Source organism: Homo sapiens, chromosome 6 (genome assembly GCF_000001405.40).
Source record: "Homo sapiens chromosome 6, GRCh38.p14 Primary Assembly".
NCBI classification, from domain to species: Eukaryota; Metazoa; Chordata; class Mammalia; order Primates; family Hominidae; genus Homo; species Homo sapiens.
In genome coordinates, this window is record NC_000006.12 from 31952086 (window position 1) to 31969773 (window position 17688).

General features: G+C 52.3%; 2 protein-coding genes and 1 non-coding gene across 11 annotated transcripts, besides 1 other annotated feature; 1 reads left to right on the top strand and 2 right to left on the bottom strand.

Moving 5' to 3' along the window:
- Positions 2–6886, bottom strand: NELFE (negative elongation factor complex member E). Of its 6 annotated transcripts, none has more exons than XM_006715205.4 (11): positions 6807–6886; positions 6287–6369; positions 4856–4925; positions 4608–4753; positions 3134–3208; positions 2974–3011; positions 2470–2792; positions 2213–2357; positions 1995–2049; positions 1644–1746; positions 2–313 (listed from the first exon to the last, which is right to left on the bottom strand). In XM_006715205.4, exons 2-11 carry the CDS (start codon positions 6359–6361, stop codon positions 216–218), a joined length of 1128 nt encoding a protein of 375 aa, XP_006715268.1. In that variant the 5' UTR covers positions 6362–6369; positions 6807–6886; the 3' UTR covers positions 2–215. The 6 variants fall into 6 exon arrangements, with proteins under 6 accessions (XP_006715268.1, NP_002895.3, XP_047275312.1 ...); NM_002904.6 differs by having other exon boundaries at positions 2470–2807; XM_047419356.1 differs by having other exon boundaries at positions 6287–6396.
- On the bottom strand, positions 4754–4855 carry MIR1236 (microRNA 1236). The gene has a single exon (NR_031601.1). It is a non-coding gene; the product is annotated as a microRNA 1236 (primary transcript).
- Positions 7090–17666, top strand: SKIC2 (SKI2 subunit of superkiller complex). 4 transcript variants are annotated; one of them, NM_006929.5, is made up of 28 exons: positions 7090–7129; positions 7212–7315; positions 7925–8034; positions 8135–8252; positions 8347–8461; positions 8581–8655; positions 8956–9009; positions 9111–9301; positions 9462–9590; positions 9824–9969; positions 10354–10500; positions 10629–10713; positions 10900–11006; positions 11328–11474; positions 11552–11648; positions 11828–12040; positions 12147–12257; positions 13698–13928; positions 14624–14761; positions 14919–15056; positions 15188–15292; positions 15630–15777; positions 15871–15997; positions 16243–16453; positions 16601–16711; positions 16786–17004; positions 17195–17335; positions 17430–17666. In NM_006929.5, the coding sequence occupies exons 1-28, from the start codon at positions 7108–7110 to the stop codon at positions 17628–17630; spliced, it is 3741 nt and encodes a 1246-aa protein (NP_008860.4). In that variant the 5' UTR covers positions 7090–7107; the 3' UTR covers positions 17631–17666. The 4 variants fall into 4 exon arrangements, with proteins under 4 accessions (NP_008860.4, XP_011513117.1, XP_047275215.1 ...); XM_011514815.4 differs by lacking the exons at positions 16786–17004; positions 17195–17335; positions 17430–17666 and having other exon boundaries at positions 16551–16681; XM_047419259.1 differs by lacking the exons at positions 16786–17004; positions 17195–17335; positions 17430–17666 and having other exon boundaries at positions 16538–16655.
- Positions 9680–10879: an enhancer, noted in NCBI's record as "CDK7 strongly-dependent group 2 enhancer chr6:31929542-31930741 (GRCh37/hg19 assembly coordinates)". NCBI's record gives its function as "activates an origin of replication core promoter dependent on BRD2, BRD4, P300/CBP, MED14 and CDK7 cofactors, with strong dependence on CDK7, by STARR-seq in HCT116 cells {active_cell/tissue: HCT116}" and the evidence as "EXISTENCE:reporter gene assay evidence [ECO:0000049][PMID:35650434]".

The following is a 17688-nucleotide window of genomic DNA, read 5'->3' on the forward strand; positions in this document are numbered from 1 at the left end:
CTGTGTTCCAGATCCTTTTGGGGCAAGGGAGTGGGGAACAGGCACTGGCCATGTTGTTACACTGAGATCAAACCTGACAGCCGTTTTTAAAGGTTTAACCCCAATCCCAAGTGCTGAAAAACCAGAGGCTGAGGGAGATGTGTAAGCTTCCACCTCAGTGTTTTACTGAGACCAGCATTGGGGCATATGAGGCACAAGGAATCCAGCTCTGTTCCCTAGAAGCCATCCACAAGGTTTTCCTTGTAGACGTCATCACTGTAGACAATCTGGGTCCTCTTGTCCCGGTGGCAACCCTTAGGGCTGTTCTGGACAGCTAGGGAGGGAGGAGAGGAACAGTTAAGGTCTAAAGGAGATCATAGAACAGACCCTGAGGCTGACTCCTGACCACCTCACTCCTGGCCACTGGCCCCTGGAAGCCCAGTTTCCACGCTGCCCTCTGGTGGCCAGGATGGCCTGTCTTCCTTAGCTCCTTTGTGCCAACCCATGGCCAAGAAAAGTATAAGTGGACATTTTGATGAATGTTTTGTTCTTAGAAAAATCCCAAATGTCATTGTTGAGACACGTGAATGATATTAACCCACTACTTACAGTCAGTATGTCAGAAGCTAAAAACTAGAAAACCTCTGTAGCCCTTTTTTGACATGCTGGTCAATTCTAGTTCCTTTCTTTTGCCTGAAGGGCCACTGTAGCTGAGCCCTTCTTTCTGCTCACTCCTTTCCCAGGAAAATCTACTTTCAGGGAAAATGGATTATTCACACTAAGAAATGCTACTAGCTCCACCAGAACTCATTCAGGGTGTAGCTTTGGCCCTCACCATTCTCTCTCAAGCCTCTAGCTGTTTCTTCCCCTTCCTCTTTCCTCCCTCCACCAGACATGTTACTCTCTTCACCCCATCCAATGGTTCCATCCCCACCACCCTTGAGCTACAGAGAATCTCTCTCACCCACTCCCATCCTGTGATCTCTGTGCCTCAACACTGCTGGCTACTCCCTCTTTCTCAAAGTGTGTGTCCTTTTGCTTCAGTGGCCCAGGCCCCTGCGGTGCTGCTCCCAGCCCTCCGACCCCTCCTCCTGTCTCCTTTGCTAACGTTAGGCTCAACGTTAGCCTAACATGTCAGGACAGCTGGGGACATGTGGGGTGTGAGGTGAACAGTCCTGTTTCCTAACATAGTCCCAGAGTACTCCTCAAACTGAGTCCTGGGTCGTTTTTTTTTCTCTGAAATCAGAGTCTCCCTGATGATCCTATTGTTTGGCAGCCACCCTGTGATGTGGATGACTTAATCTATGTTTTCCTTCCTTACCTCACACCTGAGTTCCAGATCCCTGATTTCGAATACTTATGAAACTCACTCTACTCCATCTCAAAATGAACAAGCCCCATGAGACACTCATCTTCCTCACCAATCTCACTCCAGCTCCCACTTTCTTCCCTGTTCCAGTCACTGCTTTGGAAGCTGTTTTCAATCCTTTTCTCTCCTTTCTTTACCTCTAACTGACAGAGGATCTGAAATTTTCCTTCCCATTCCCATAGCCTCCGCACACACTCTGACCTCGATCATCTCTAGGAAACCCAAGGATGTGTGGGGGAACCAAAAGGAATGGCCTGTGGGGGAGAGGATGGGAAAGGAAGAATCCCATTCTTACCGAGGGAGCCCCAGACAGACTTGCCAGTAGCGGCATCCAGCATGGGCTGTTTTCGGGCTATGTTGACTTTGAGCTGTACAGACTCCACCTGGGTCCCGTTGAGCTGAAGCAGAAGAGGGGAGGCAGAGGATGGGGAGGAAAACATTACAGATAAACCAAAGAAGTTATTCCAGGAGTTGCTATCCTAGGAGGAGACTGAATAAGGAATCTGAGAATGTGAGTTTTTCTGTGTGAATAGGGAGAGGCTTTCTTTATCAAGAGGAACCAACTTCTTCCTGGCATCTAGTATTTTGAGGAGAACACATGAGAACAGCAGAAGCGATGGGAAGAACAGATTTGGGAAGTTCCAACCTCAGCAACGGCCTGATCTGCTGACTCCATCTTTTCATAGGTGACGAAGGCACAGCTGGGATAAGAGAAAACACGGTCAGTGGAGAGCCAAGGGGCTCTTCTGGACCCAACCAAACCCAGTGATAATAGGCGGCTGCAGGGAGGGCAGCTTCTTCCCTCAGGTCTCACACCCCAGGATTCTCCCAGGACTTCTCATCATGCCCTGTTGTCATCCTTACTTTCTGGGTGGGTCCATGGAGAGGTCAATGATGTTTCCAAAAGGAGAGAAGGCCCCACGGAGAAGGGTGGGTGTCATGTCTTCTCCATATACATAGAGAGTATTCCCTTTCCTAGGGGCTCGCCGTTCAGGGAATGAATCCGACCCTTTGGGAGCACAAATCATAGTCACAAGACATAGACCATGCCACATTTCACTTAGTAGGACCCACATAAACCTCAGTTAAGGTCACCTTGACCTCCAGCCAAAATCACTCACTGCGGAAAGGACCCTCTCGGTCTCGGTCTCGATCCCGCTCCCGATCCCTGTCCCGTTCCCGGTCTCGATCTCGATCCCGATCCCGATCCCTGTCCCGCTCTCTGTCTCTGTCTCGATCCCGGTCTCGATCCCGCTCCCGATCTCGGTCTCTGTCCCGGTTCCTCTCATGGCTGCGGTCCCGGCTGCGGCTTCGGGGAGGGGAGGCTGAGGAGTGGGCACCACTGCGTTCTTCATAGCCCCAGTCAAAGCTTCGAGGGGGACCATCACCAGCCCCTGGGCCCTCTGCCTCTTCTCCATCTGGTCCTAGTTCTCGAAGTCGATCACTAGAAGACACAAAGCTGGGGAGATGCAGACTGAAGATCAAAGGGGGGTTTTACCTTCTCCCCTCAGACCCTGTGGAGACTCAATATTCCCTCTATAGCCCAGCTCCTACAGCCCAAACCTCCCAAGGACTCAGGCAATCAACTCCACCAAATGGGCCCAGCCTTATCTCTACTCTCTAACCTCTCATACAGAGATTTCCTCTGGGGACGTCTGGATGACTGTAAAAGAGACCAAGAACAGTTAAGATGATTTCCAGTTGCTGACATGTGGTCCAAAATATATTTGTCTCTCATATTCCTCCATCCCCAACCCCTCAGGGACAGAAATTAGGAGCCTTTACCTCTTGCAGGTCATCATCAGCAGATATGCTCCTCTGGAACGGCTGGAAAGTGGGGACTGGTCCCTTCTCGGGGTCCTGGAGTGGTGAGAGACCTACCTCAGTGTGGAGCAGGAGGTTGCCCAACCATGGACCAGAGGTGTTCCTCTTCCCTCACCCTCTTCTAGGTTTCCTCTGATCTTTTCTTCCCTTTTAATTCTACATACATTTCTTATTTGACGTGGTTTTACTTATTTTTTTTTTTTTTTTTTGAGACACGGTCCTGCTCTGTTGTCCAGGCTGGAGTGCAATAGAGCAATCGTAGCTTGCTGCAGCCTTGACCTCCCATGCTCAAGCAATCCTCCTACCTCAGCCTCCCTAGTAGCTGGGACTAGAGATGTGCTCTACCATGCTTGGCTAATTTCTGTATTTTTTTTTTTTTTTGTAGAGATAGGGTTTCACTATGTTGCCAGGGCTGGTCTCAAACTCCTGGGCTCAAGCAATCCTCCTACCTCGGCCTCCTAAAGTGCTGAAATTAACCAGGAATGAGCCATTGCCGCACCTGCCATTGTGGCTTGTTTTGTTTTGTTTTTGAGACAGAATCTTGCTCTGTCGTCCAGGCTGGAGTGCAGTGGTGTGATCTCCACTCACTGCAACCTCTGCCTCCTGGGTTCAAGTGATTCTCTGGCCTCAGCCTCCTCAGTAACTGGGACTATAAGTGTGCACCACCACATTCTGCTAATTTTTTTTTTTTTTGAGACGGAGTCTCGCTGTCACCCAGGCTGGAGTGCAGTGGCACAATCTCGACTCACTGCAAGCTCCGCCTCCTGGGTTCAAGCAATTCTCCTGCCTCAGCCTCCCAAGTAGCTGGGACTACAGGCGCCCGCCACCACGCCCGGCTAATTTTTGTATTTTTAGTAGAGATGGGGTTTCACCTTGTTAGCCAGGATGGTCTCGATCTCCTGACCTCGTGATCCGCCTGCCTCGGCCTCCCAAAGTGCTGGGATTACAGGTGTGAGCCACCGCGCCCGGCCTCACACCCTGCTGATTTTTGTATTTTTAGTAGAGACGGGGTTTTACCATGTTGGCCAGGTTGGTCTTAAACTCCTAATCTCAAGTGATCTGCCCACCTCAGCCTCCCAAAGTGCTGGGATTACAGGCATGAGCCACCACGCCCAGCTGGTATTTTTTATAAGTGACTCGATATATTATGTATTCAGTTTATTTGAACCTCTCTTGAACCTGATAACATTTTCAGCCCTTTCCATCCCTTAGGGCAACATATTCCAAGAGCTCCAATCCAAGGTGGATTAGAACCACAGAATTTGTAAAATGGAGAATTCAGGAGTCGTCTAGTTTTTTCATTTTATACATGAGAGGTGAAACTCAGAATGGTACAGCAATTTGCCAGTGCTTGAGTATGCATATTTTTCCCCAAACCCATCTACATTCCAACTTGGAGGGATGCCCTTTAAACAATCTTTCTGCTTGTGCTCACCTTTAACTTCCCCTCAAGGGTTCGAGAACGCTTGAAGCCTGAGTTCTTGGTCTCAGCCTTGATGGCACTGATGGCTCCTGACTTCACCAGCTGCTTTGCCTGCTCTGTTGCTGTGGCTGTGTCCATGACAGGCTGCTCTGATAGTGCTGGAGAGACAAGGGGAAGAGGCATTATGTTGGCCAAGCCATGATGAAGGTCAGCTCCATGCTGCCCACTTCCAGTCCATCCCCATTTCCCCTGTCACTCACAGCGTTTGACACCACCTTGGCTGGTTGTGCTGCTGCTACTTTGCTTCTTCAGAGCCAGCAATGCCTTTTTCTGGGAACAAGGGTGAGAAGAGAGAGGTAAGTGAGGGCCAGCCCCTAGCCGGTTCCTCTCCTAAGGCCCCTGGGCACATCACTCCAGGGACCGTCTTTCTTGATGCCCTCAGAGTGGTACACTGATGTGCTCTGCCTCTTGCCTCTGGTCCCCTAGATCATGTATGATGCTGGAAATTCCTAATCTAACCAAACCACGGAACCCAGAGGTTTTCCAGAGTGTTACATTTTTGAAGTTGAAGACAAATAACTCAATCATGGACTAGAATCCTAGGATATAAGCTGCAAGTAAGTATAAGTTTATGTGCCTTTCCTGGAAGCTTCATCCATCTATTTCCTGCATATTGAATGAGGCCCAGCCATGACTTCGTAACAGGGATATCCAGGAGGCTAATGCATTGTTCCTACCCTCAAGAAGCTTACAGTCTGAGAAATAAAATACATTGAGTTAGCAATACAATTATAAGAGGTGCAGATTATTCATAGCTGAAAGCTAGTAAGATTTTCTGATGTTTAATGGCTATTAAACTAGGCCCTCTCCCGTATCTCTGCACAACACAGAGAGGAGAAGGGTATTTTAGAAAAAGAAAACAGGGTGGCAAAGATGCAGAGATAAGAAGGCTTTGGGAATGCATCTTTTGGAAGTAGTGAATAGTTCTACTTTACTAGACAAGGCTGCCAAACTAAGGTTTTGAGGCTTTTTTATAGACAATGTGAAGCCATTTATGGTTTTTGAGAAACAGAGGGAGCAGAATTTTGTGTTTTCAATGGATCATTTGAACAGGAGTGAAGAAGTCTGTTCAAAAAAAAAGACTGAGAAATTTGTTGAGAGACCATTACAATGGCCCACATGAATGTCAATAAAGCCCTGCTCGGGGGAATGCACAGTGAAGAATAAACAGGAAAAATTACTTCAAAAGAAGAAACAATAAGACTTGGCAAAGGTTTGACTATGCAAATAGTGGGGAAGTCAGAGTTTTGAGTCCAAACATGTGGCAGAATTGGTGTAGTCAATCTTATTTGGAAGATCAAGAATAGAAAGATGATAGCTTCAACACTGAGTATCTGAAGTTTTTCAGTATAACACTGGATAGAACTGGAAAAAACAAACTTGGGGATCATCAGCTCTTAAGCGGTACTAAAAGCCATGGGAAAGGAAGACAATCCATGGCAAATTGCATAGAAAAGACAGAAGGTCCACACCAAGGCTTGGGAAAGCCCACCTCTCGAAGCTACACTGTGAGGTGATATGTCTCTAGGTATGGGCCAGAAAAACTTCCCCATTCGCTCACACTCACCCCATATCTTCTCAGAGTGCAGAGTCTGTGAAAGGTTAGGCCATGTCCACACACAGTCCCTCACCTTTTTCTTGAGCTTGTTGAATTTCTTCTGCAGAGCCTCCTCTTCCTCGCTCAGTCCGGGGGGTATCACCAACATGGTGGCTCCTAGTTCAGGGGCAGGGCCCAAGACATCTTTCTCCACTGTTACCACCCGGGGTTCACACGCCGTCCACACTGTACCCAACCCCACCCCTTCAGGTCTGCCTACTCTTGTCTTTGGCTTTCCCTACCCCTTGCTTAAACCAGGCTGCTGTCCAAGCTCCCGCTGGTCGGGATCATCCAGCATTCCCTCCTGTCTCCAGGGATCACAGACACCAGCACCTTTAGGTACCATGTGGTTCAAGGAGGGACAAATATCCACTCCGTCGGAAAGACGATGGCACCCGACCCCCCTACCCTCGCTAGGGTAAGGACAACCGCGGGGTTTGAACGGCAGAGAAGGCGGTGGAGCCAGCGTAGCGCCCGCAGAGCAACGCAAAGAGGAAGAACAGAGAAACGGCTATGAGAAAAAGGGCCGAAGAGTGAGAAGCAGAGGGCCTTACCCGAGGGGGCGGCAACCGGGGGCCCCACGGTCTCCGGCCGCGCCCGCGCTGGCCGCTGATAGCGGGCTCACAACGATGACGTAGCGAGGAGCGGAAAACGCGGTAACCAAGGCGGCCCCAGGCGCGCACTTCCGCCCGGCCTTCCACCGGTCCAGGTCTGCCCCTCCGCAGCGATAGTTCACGCTCTCGGCGGGGCTGTACCGGAAGTTGCCTCTACTTCCGCCCGTTCCGGGGCGGGGCTTACTTCGCAGCGACTACTTGCCGCACTTCCGGGCTGCCAGGCAGCTGCTGTGGCTCCAGGATGATGGAGACAGAGCGACTTGGTGAGGGGGAGGGGAGGGAAATGGAACGGAGTAGCCGATATGGAATGAACTTTGACCCCTGACTTTTGACCTTTCCCCGTAGTGCTACCCCCTCCAGATCCCCTGGACCTACCCCTTCGGGCCGTGGAGCTCGGATGCACGGGGCACTGGGAGCTGCTGAACTTGCCTGGAGCTCCAGAGAGTAGCGTGAGTGACTTTTGACCCTAACCTTTGACCCGCATTGAGTCCAAACCTCCTTCACCCTCCTCACAGTAGGATCTAGCTTAACCTTGTTCATCTGTGCCTGTACTCCTGTCCATCCCAGCCTGAAGGGGTGCTGGACAGATTACAGCCCAGTGTACCTGCAGTACATGTGAGGACAGAGCAGAAAGGGCTGGGGATATTTTTGCTTTGAGAGCTGCTCTTTCAAATGTGGCATTTCTCCGTGGAGCTCCCTTCTGTATCCAAGCACCAGGGCACTTGGTGACTGAGATGATAGGCTTTGAGCCTCCAACCTTTCATCCTTAGGTCTGGGACCCCTTTTTCTAAAATCAGTGAGTCTCCAATTTCAGTGTGCTTCATGATTAGCCAGGGAGCTTTTTAAAAATGCACATTCCTAGGTCCAGCCTCCATGTTTCTGAAATCCAAAATCTGCCCCAGGTAATTCAGTAGCAGGTAGTTTTTGGCCAAGCCTGATTGTCCTAGTCTGTTTGACACATCTGCCATTTCTGATCTGAACACAAGTCCCATCATCTCTTTTGTCTGCATTTTATCCTCTTTCCTTACCTAATGCCTCTCATCTTGCCCTTGTTTCAGCTTCCCCATGGCCTCCCTCCTTGTGCCCCAGATCTGCAGCAAGAAGCAGAACAGTTGTTTCTGTCATCCCCAGCCTGGCTGCCTCTGCATGGTGTGGAGCACTCAGCCCGGTGAGGAGTCTGGAGGGGCTTAGACTAGGGTGATGGGTTCCTGAAGGAAGCTGGGACAGAGGAAGAAAGAAGACCCAAAAGTTACTATTTTTCTCTCCAGAAAATGGCAGAGGAAGACGGATCCCTGGTCTCTTTTGGCTGTCCTGGGAGCCCCAGTCCCATCCGACCTACAGGCCCAAAGACACCCAACCACAGGCCAGATACTGGGTTACAAAGAGGTAGGAGGTCAGGGGTCATGAGAAACAGTTGGGGAGAAGGGGAGGTGGTCAGAGACAAGCTCAGCCTCATTGGGGCTCTGATCTCTTGCCTTAGGTCTTGCTGGAGAACACAAATCTCTCGGCTACAACCTCCTTGTCTCTTCGCCGGCCTCCAGGGCCAGCCTCCCAGTCCTTATGGGGAAATCCAACTCAGTATCCCTTCTGGCCAGGTGACTCTTGTGGAGATGGGATGGTAGAAGAGGGTGTCTTTAATCTCCAGGGAAGGGTTCCCCACCTATCTCGTATTACCCTCATCCCATGAATCCCTGTCTGTCCTGTCTCTTCCCAGGGGGGATGGATGAACCCACCATAACAGATCTGAACACACGGGAGGAGGCTGAGGAGGAGATAGACTTTGAGAAAGGTAAGGTGGGGCTCTGAGTCTGAGCCTTGAGGAGGAAGAGCCCAGGCTATCACTGGGCTACTGCTAGCCCTCCCATGTTTTTGAGAAAATTAGAAAAAGATATTCTGTCCATAACAACCTTTACTGTCATCTGCTGGGAAATTTCTACAACAACCTTTACTGTCATCTGTTGGGAAAGTGTCATAGCAAACATCCCTATCTACAGCATCTGTCCTGTAAATGGTATCTTTTAGGTTTATATAATGTACACAATTTGTTCACCAGTGTGCAGTGACCTGATTTCATGTCCCTATCCTACAGATCTTCTTACTATTCCACCTGGTTTCAAGAAAGGCATGGACTTTGCACCAAAAGGTTAGTTTTAGTTTTTGAGTGGGGTGTAGGAGAAGTCATGTCCTTCTCCTAAGGAACAGAGATGGACATGACAAGGTTGACCTTGTTGGCTTGCTCCTCAGATTGTCCAACTCCAGCTCCTGGACTACTAAGCCTTAGCTGTATGTTGGAGCCTCTGGATTTGGGTGGGGGTGACGAGGATGAGAATGAGGCAGTGGGACAGCCAGGAGGTCCCAGAGGGGACACTGTTTCAGCCTCTCCCTGCAGTGCTCCCCTGGCCCGAGCAAGCAGCTTGGAAGACCTAGTGTTGAAGGTTGGTGGTTCTGTGTAGTGGAGGCAAGAAAGAGCCTTGCCACCAGGATGTGGGCTGGCTAGGATGGGTCTGAGGGGAAGAAAGGGACATCTTTTGGGAGGAGTGCTAATTGAGAGCCCTCTGGTTGTATCTTTATCACTGCTACCCCTGACTCTTCCAGGAAGCGTCCACAGCTGTATCCACCCCAGAGGCCCCAGAGCCTCCATCTCAGGAGCAGTGGGCCATCCCTGTGGACGCCACCTCCCCTGTTGGTGATTTCTATCGCCTCATTCCCCAGCCAGCCTTCCAGGTACTTTGGCCCCATCTTCACACGCTCCTCTACCTCTTTCTGGGTCACACTCCCAGCCGACCCCTTGTCTCCTCTATTGGCCAGAGGTCAGATCCATCCCAGGCCAGTCTTGGTACTCAGTCCCAGCCTCGGCTGGCTCCGGCCTTCATCCGCCCGCCCTGCGTGCTCCATGAGCAGGAGGCAGCAAGGCCCCGCTCCTTTCTTCAGCTCCTGTCTATTTCTCTCTCCCATAGTGGGCATTTGAGCCAGATGTGTTTCAGAAACAGGCCATCCTGCACTTGGAACGGCATGACTCTGTCTTTGTCGCAGCTCACACATCTGCAGGAAAAACAGTTGTGGCTGAATATGCCATTGCCCTGGCCCAGAAACACATGACACGGTATGAGTTCCTTTGCCAACCTCCCCCTTCACCAGCCAGCCCCATTTTCTCCTGCATCCTTTGAAAATCTCATCTCTTCCCCCACCTCTCTAGCTCATCCTTTAAGTGAGAGGTTCAGGGCTAAGACTGAGACAAGAGCCCAGAGAGAAATGAAAAGACATGGTGGGGAGAAAGTTTAGAAGAATGACCTGGGTTAGTTTAGGAAGGGGTTGGGGACAGAATTTTTCTGGGGTTATATCATGCAGGAGAATGTAAGGGCAGTTTGGGTGAAGAAGAGGAGCACCTGAGCTTCTGGGGCATGCTTCCACGAGGGCTCCATGTGGGAGAGGAAGTGCGGGCCATGAGTCTGCGGAGGGACTGGCTAACTTCATGCTCTCTTCCCAGCACCATCTACACTTCGCCCATCAAGGCCCTGAGCAACCAGAAGTTCCGGGACTTCCGAAACACATTCGGGGATGTGGGGCTGCTCACCGGGGATGTACAGCTGCATCCGGAGGCCTCCTGCCTCATCATGACCACAGAGATCCTTCGGTGAGAGATGGACACTCAATACAGGGGAGTTTTGGCTGGGAAGATGTGGCCGTTGTGGAGAGTGTGCTGTCTGAGGAGGGGGTGGAGACGAGCCACTGGGGAGTCAATCCTTGGCCTCTTCTCCCCAGCTCCATGCTGTACAGTGGCTCAGATGTTATTCGGGACCTGGAGTGGGTCATCTTTGATGAGGTTCACTATATCAACGATGTCGAGGTAAGGGCCATGGGCTCCCCAGAACCCGGCAGTCCTCTCCTTTGGGACCAGTTGAGCGTCTCCCTTATTCCACACACTCAGGGCCCCTTACTGCTTTCTTTACCCCCATATGGAATCCTGTGCCTCTTTATGGGCAGAAGGGCGGCCCCTGCCCTCATGTGACCTCCCTTCCCTCTCTGTGCCCAGCGTGGGGTCGTGTGGGAGGAGGTGCTTATCATGCTACCTGACCACGTTTCTATCATCCTTCTGAGTGCCACCGTCCCCAACGCCCTTGAGTTTGCTGACTGGATTGGGTGAGACGTGTGTCCCGGGTTGCCTGGGTGAAGGGGGCTACAGTACTCCTTGATTCGGGTGGGGGACTAAGTCTACCACAGCAAGGAGAGCGGTCAGGCCTTAGGGGTGATGCTGGGGAACATGTCCCACCTGGTGGCTGTGGGATCCCCTTTGGGTCCAGATTACTTTGCATGTTGAAATGGGATGAGATGTTGGGGGATAGCCTTCCATTCTGGGTCTCAGAAAAGACTGGGTAAAGTTGGAGGGGTAGGGAAGGGGGTGGGGATGTGGGTTCCTTCCCACGTTCCCACCCCTGACCTGCTTCCCTCTCCTTTCTTCAGGCGGCTGAAGCGTCGTCAGATCTATGTGATTAGCACTGTAACCCGCCCCGTGCCCCTGGAGCACTATCTTTTCACAGGGAACAGCTCCAAGACCCAGGGGGAGCTCTTTTTGTTGCTGGACTCCCGAGGAGCCTTCCATACAAAAGGGTAAGCCTCGAGATGGGGGAAAGAGTTAGGGCTGGGCCCCCAGCTGGACATTGTGGCTACCCCTCCCTGTGCCCCAGGTACTATGCAGCTGTGGAGGCCAAGAAGGAGAGAATGAGCAAACACGCCCAGACCTTTGGGGCCAAGCAGCCCACACATCAGGGGGGCCCTGCACAGGTGAGAACTGGGAGGGTTTTGTACCTGCCAGCACCTGTTTTTCCTCCTATCTTTTTTTTCCCCTTGTCCCCCAGGGGTTTTGACTTGAGCTTTGAGCACTGCCCCAGTTAACACTAGCTCACCTCTCATTGGTTCAGGAACTCAACCTCTGCTCCTTCCCCTTCCCCTTCCTTCTCCAGGACCGCGGAGTGTACCTGTCCCTCCTGGCCTCCCTCCGCACACGTGCCCAGTTGCCCGTGGTGGTGTTCACCTTCTCCCGGGGCCGCTGTGATGAGCAGGCCTCAGGCCTCACCTCCCTTGACCTCACCACCAGTTCGGAGAAGAGCGAGATCCACCTCTTCCTGCAGCGCTGCCTTGCTCGCCTCCGTGGCTCTGACCGCCAGCTGCCCCAGGTGCGTCTGTGTGCGTCTGTGTGCGTGCATGCACACATTTGGCAGACTGGTGGGGATAGGGTGTTCCGAGACTCCATCCCTGACCATGGGCCTCCTCCCACCAAAGGTCCTGCACATGTCAGAGCTCCTGAATCGCGGCCTGGGTGTGCACCATAGCGGCATCCTGCCCATCCTCAAGGAGATCGTGGAGATGCTCTTCAGCCGTGGCCTGGTCAAGGTGCATGTGGTGGTGGAAAGGGACTCCTCAGGGTGCTTGTTGCCCACTTAGGGGCTGCCCAGAGGGCAGAGGGGCAGAGGTTTAGGCAGGCCAGTGCTGTGGTTAAGAATCTGGGCTCTGGATTCAGACTACCTGGGTTTGAATCCCAGGTACACCATGTATTCACAGTATCATCCTGGACCAATTATTTAACCTTCCTGAACTTTAGGTTTCCCATCTTAAAATGGGGATGCATAAGATATGAATACGTAGGTCTCAGAAAAGAAACCCAGGAAGCTAGCAAGCATTCGAAAAGTTATTAGTAATCAGAAATATACAAATTGAAGTACTCACAAGATACGACTTTACAGCTATTAGACTGGTAAAATTTAGGAAACTAGTTCATGCCGAGTGTTGCCAGAGATATAGGAGGTTGTAGGGTTCTGGGAATCCTTTACGGGATGCCTAGCCAGTTTGGAATGCACGCTGGCACTATTTAGACAAAATAACTATATTGGCCGGGCATGGTGGCTCACACCTGTAATCCCAGCACTTTGGGAGGCTGAGGTGGGTGGATCACAAGGTCAAGAGATCGAGACCATCCTGGCCAACATGGTGAAACCCTGTCTCTACTAAAAATACAAAAATTAGCTGGGCATGGTGGCAGGTGCCTGTAGTCCCAGCTACTTGGGAGGCTGAGGCAGGAGAATTGCTTGAACCCAGGAGGCAGAGATTGCAGTGAGCCAAGATAGCACCGCTGCACTCCAGCCTGGGCAACAGAGGGAGACTCCATCTCAAAACAAAAACAAACAAAGAAACAAACAAAAACTATATCATACTCTGAGCTTATATTTCATTCCTGGGTATATATCACAAAGAAATTCTCACCCTGGTCTGTGAGAGAACATGTACACCCATCCTTTGTTTGTGGTGGCATGGTGTTGGTAGTACCAGGGTGCCCTTCACTGGGAGAGAGGGAAGGTTAGTGTGGGGGATGCACCCATAGAGTGTTCTGCAGCAGTTGGAAGCAGTGGGTTAGATGTGGCCACAGGAACATGGACAGATGTTGAAACACTAGGTGGAGAAAAAGAAGCAAAAAAAAATCAGATATATAACCACTTTTTATATGAATTATAAACTACAAGCTCACAAAAGAAGACATGTTCTATAAGATCATATTTATATAAAAAGATATTTGTTGGATACATTGGAATGATTGCAGTCAGGGATGGGAATGGGATATGAAGGTAAAAGTTAAGAAATAGAAATAAGTAGCTACATAAGTAAAATGAGGAAAACAATAATACCTGCCCTATAGATTTGCCTGGAGAGTTCAGTGAGATCCCATAAGTAACAACTGGGATGGTGCCTTATGCCTACAAAGTAAGGTGGGCTTGGCCAGGGCTGGGGGTGTGTGTATGTAGAGCCTTTGCTGATCCTTTCTGTTCTCCTCTGTCCCAGGTCTTGTTTGCCACAGAGACCTTTGCCATGGGAGTAAACATGCCTGCTCGTACAGTAGTGTTTGACTCCATGCGCAAACACGATGGCTCCACCTTCCGGGACCTGCTCCCTGGGGAGTATGTGCAGATGGCAGGCCGGGCAGGGCGGAGGGGCCTGGACCCCACAGGCACCGTTATCCTGCTCTGCAAGGGCCGAGTGCCCGAGATGGCAGACCTGCACCGCATGATGATGGTGAGCGGGCCAGCATGCTCGGCAGGGCCCCAGCTCCAGGACCTTGCTGGATTCTGTCTTCGATTCTCCTCTCTTCTTTTTCTTCTTCCTTTTTTTTTTGGAGACAGGGTCTTGCTCTGTTACCTAGGCTGGAGTGCAGTGGCACAATCTCGGGTCACCGCAACCTCTGCCTTCCAGGCTCAAGGGATCCTCCCACCTCAGCCTCCCAAGTAGGTGGGATTCCAGGCACATGCCACACAGGCCTGGCTAATTTTTTTTTTTTTTTTATGCTTTGTAGAGATGAGGTTTTGCTATGTTGCACAGGTTGGTCTTGAACTTCTGGGCTCAAGCAGTCTGTCTGCCTCAGCTTCCCAAAGTACTGGGATTATAGGTGTGGGCCACAGCGCCCAACTTCCTCCGACTTTTTTGTTTTGCCTGGGAGAAGCTGAGGTAGGAGTGAGTGAATCCAAGGATGAGATTGGAGCCCATCTCTTCCAGTTTTCTCCCATGTGAATATGGAGCTAGATGGGGCCTTTGAGTCCATTTATTTCAGTTTGCTCCCTTATGTTACAGAAGAGGTGAGCAAGTGGTTTGTCCAAGGCCCCATGGTTGCAGAGCTAGGACCGGATCTGACGGGAGTAGGCCCAGTCCAGAAGACTGGCTGGGGTTCAGTAGGTCCCACCCTGATCTCAGTGACTTCTGTGACCTGACTCCAGGGGAAGCCGTCCCAGCTGCAGTCCCAGTTCCGCCTCACGTACACTATGATCCTCAACTTGCTGCGAGTGGATGCCCTCAGGGTGGAGGACATGATGAAGAGGAGCTTCTCTGAGTTTCCCTCCCGCAAAGACAGCAAGGTAAGGAGCCTGGGGTAACCAGTGTGTGGAGCAGGAGGTTGGCCAAAGACAGGCTGGGAATAGGTAGGCATCCAGAGGCCAGTGTGTTGAGGGTGGGGAGTGTGACAGATTGGGCCTGGAGACTCCCCTTTCACAGCTTCCCCTGCTCCCACCCAAGGCCCATGAACAGGCCCTGGCTGAACTGACCAAGAGGCTGGGAGCTTTGGAGGAGCCTGACATGACTGGCCAACTGGTCGACCTGCCTGAATATTACAGCTGGGGGGAGGAACTGACAGAGACCCAGCACATGATCCAGGTGAGCAAGTGTGAGTGCTGAGGAGGTGATAGGAGAAGGGAAGAGAAGATCGTGTTACTCTAGGTGCTACTAAACTTAGTCCAAGTGTCTGTCCCTGTGATGCCTCCTCCCATCTGTCCTTTGCTCTTCAGCGACGCATCATGGAGTCTGTGAACGGGCTGAAGTCTCTCTCAGCAGGAAGGGTGGTGGTTGTGAAGAATCAGGAGCATCACAACGCATTGGGAGTGATCCTACAGGTGAGGGTGATGGGAATTTGGACTCCAGAGGGTGGGAGGGAGCAAGCCCTCTCTCCATTTTCCCCACTTGGCCAGGGCAGGTTGCGTCATCATAGGGCCCTCATTTTCCCCTCTTGCCCTCCTTTTCACCCTCTCCCTTCCCATCACCACATCATGCTCACTCCTTCCTCCCACCACCCCAAGAAGTCTGCTCTGATCGCTTGACTTGGTTGCCCCTCTCTACTGGTGAGCTCTGCATGGTTGCTTCCTGATTCCTGCCCAAGGGTGGGTATCTGGTCTCTGCCTTTGATGTCTACTCATCACACCCCCCTCTCCTGGCCTCTCTGACCACCCCCAGGTCTCCTCGAACTCCACCAGCAGAGTATTCACAACCCTGGTCTTGTGTGATAAGCCCTTGTCCCAGGACCCACAGGACAGGGGGCCAGCCACTGCAGAGGTGCCCTATCCAGATGACCTCGTGGGATTCAAGCTGTTCCTGCCTGAAGGTGAGAGTGTGGCAGATGTCTGTTTTCTGCCAGCAGTATAAGCAGGATGCCTGGGTCCATGGCAATGTCTGCCCTGCTCTCCCCTTTTCACAGGGCCTTGTGACCACACCGTGGTCAAGCTCCAGCCAGGAGATATGGCTGCCATCACCACCAAGGTGCTCCGGGTGAATGGGGAGAAGATCTTGGAGGACTTCAGCAAGAGGCAGCAGCCAAAATTCAAGTCAGAGATGCTAGGGAGGCCCTTCTCCTCCAGAGGGGCACGTAGAGGCAGGGAGGGGCAGTGGTCTGGGAGTTTCCTCCAGCCTGAGGGAGACCATGAAGTGGTGGGGTTGTAGTGAGGGGGCTCCCCCAGCCTAAGGGAGACTGTGAAGTGGAGGTTGTAGTAAGAGGGCTTCCACAGCCTGAGGGAGGCTTCTGGGGGAGAGAAGATCTTACCCCAGATCTTAAGATCTGCTCCCTCTTCAGGAAGGATCCTCCCCTTGCAGCCGTGACCACTGCTGTCCAGGAACTGCTGCGTCTGGCTCAGGCCCACCCAGCCGGACCTCCCACCCTCGACCCTGTCAATGACCTGCAGCTCAAAGATATGTCAGTTGTAGAGGGTGGGCTCCGGGCCCGGAAGCTGGAGGAGCTGATCCAGGGGGCTCAGTGTGTACACAGCCCCCGTTTTCCTGCCCAGGTAGGACCCTGGGTGGTAACTCCCAAGCTGGGAGTAGGGGCTTTTCCTCTGTGGTCCCCTGTAGACTGACCGCCCCCATCTCAGCCCTTGTCCTCAGTGCACCCCTGCTAAGGGGCAAGGAGAAGGCTGACGGGTGGCTCTCTGCAGTACCTGAAGCTGCGGGAGCGAATGCAGATACAGAAGGAGATGGAGCGGCTGCGCTTCCTACTGTCGGATCAGTCATTGCTGCTGCTTCCTGAGTACCATCAGCGAGTAGAGGTGGGTGGGGCAGTGGTTGGGGCAGGGGGGCTAGGGGACAGCAGTGTGTCCAATGCCCACCCTTTTTCTTGCAGGTGCTCCGAACCCTGGGTTATGTGGACGAGGCGGGCACTGTGAAGCTGGCAGGGCGGGTGGCTTGTGCCATGAGCAGCCATGAGTTGCTCCTCACTGAGCTCATGTTTGACAATGCACTGAGCACCCTGCGGCCTGAGGAGATTGCTGCCTTGCTCTCTGGCCTGGTCTGCCAGAGCCCTGGGGACGCTGGGGATCAGCTCCCAAACACCCTCAAGCAGGTAGGGGACACCACCCCTTTCTCCCTGCCAGGGCTGTGGCATTCCTGACCTTCACCTTCAGGTAGTCCCCCAGGTGACCCCCTCCAGCCCTGTAAGTGCCCCAAGGATGGAAAATGGCTGCCTTCTTGATCTGGTCCTTCCCTGTCCTGGAGCAGGAAGGCAGGCCTTAACCTCTCCTTCTTTCCTGCAGGGAATAGAACGTGTCCGGGCTGTGGCCAAGCGGATTGGTGAGGTCCAGGTGGCTTGTGGCCTGAACCAGACGGTGGAGGAATTTGTGGGGGAGCTGAATTTTGGGCTGGTTGAGGTTGTATATGAGTGGGCCCGGGGCATGGTGAGTACCTGAGGTTTGGGATTTTGCAGACGGCTGGCTGGGGAGAACCTGCCCAGGCTGAGTGCATCCAGTCCTCACCCTACTTTCCCCACAGCCCTTCTCCGAGTTGGCAGGGCTCTCAGGGACCCCTGAGGGCCTGGTGGTCCGCTGCATTCAGCGCCTGGCTGAGATGTGTCGCTCACTGCGGGGGGCAGCCCGCCTGGTAGGAGAGCCTGTGCTGGGTGCCAAGATGGAGACAGCGGCTACCTTGCTACGGCGGGACATCGTATTTGCGGCCAGCCTCTACACCCAGTGAATGCCCCATGTAAAAACATGATGATAAAACAGCAAAGCACTGTTGTGTGCTTGAGTTG

What these genes read in the sequence shown, in the direction of transcription:
- NELFE (NM_002904.6), bottom strand. Translation starts at nt 6,361, where the DNA reads ATGTTGGTGATACCCCCCGGACTGAGCGAGGAAGAGGAGGCTCTGCAG. An exon ending in CCGAGAGGGTCCTTTCCGCA is followed by an intron (nt 2,358 to 2,469) that starts GTGAGTGATTTT and finishes GTGCTCCCAAAG; the next exon opens with GGTCGGATTCATTCCCTGAA. An exon ending in TCCATGGACCCACCCAGAAA is followed by an intron (nt 2,050 to 2,212) that starts GTAAGGATGACA and finishes CTCTTATCCCAG; the next exon opens with CTGTGCCTTCGTCACCTATG.
- SKIC2 (NM_006929.5), top strand. Translation starts at nt 7,108, where the DNA reads ATGATGGAGACAGAGCGACTTG. An exon ending in TGGAAGACCTAGTGTTGAAG is followed by an intron (nt 9,302 to 9,461) that starts GTTGGTGGTTCT and finishes TGACTCTTCCAG; the next exon opens with GAAGCGTCCACAGCTGTATC. An exon ending in CAAGCTGTTCCTGCCTGAAG is followed by an intron (nt 15,778 to 15,870) that starts GTGAGAGTGTGG and finishes CCCTTTTCACAG; the next exon opens with GGCCTTGTGACCACACCGTG.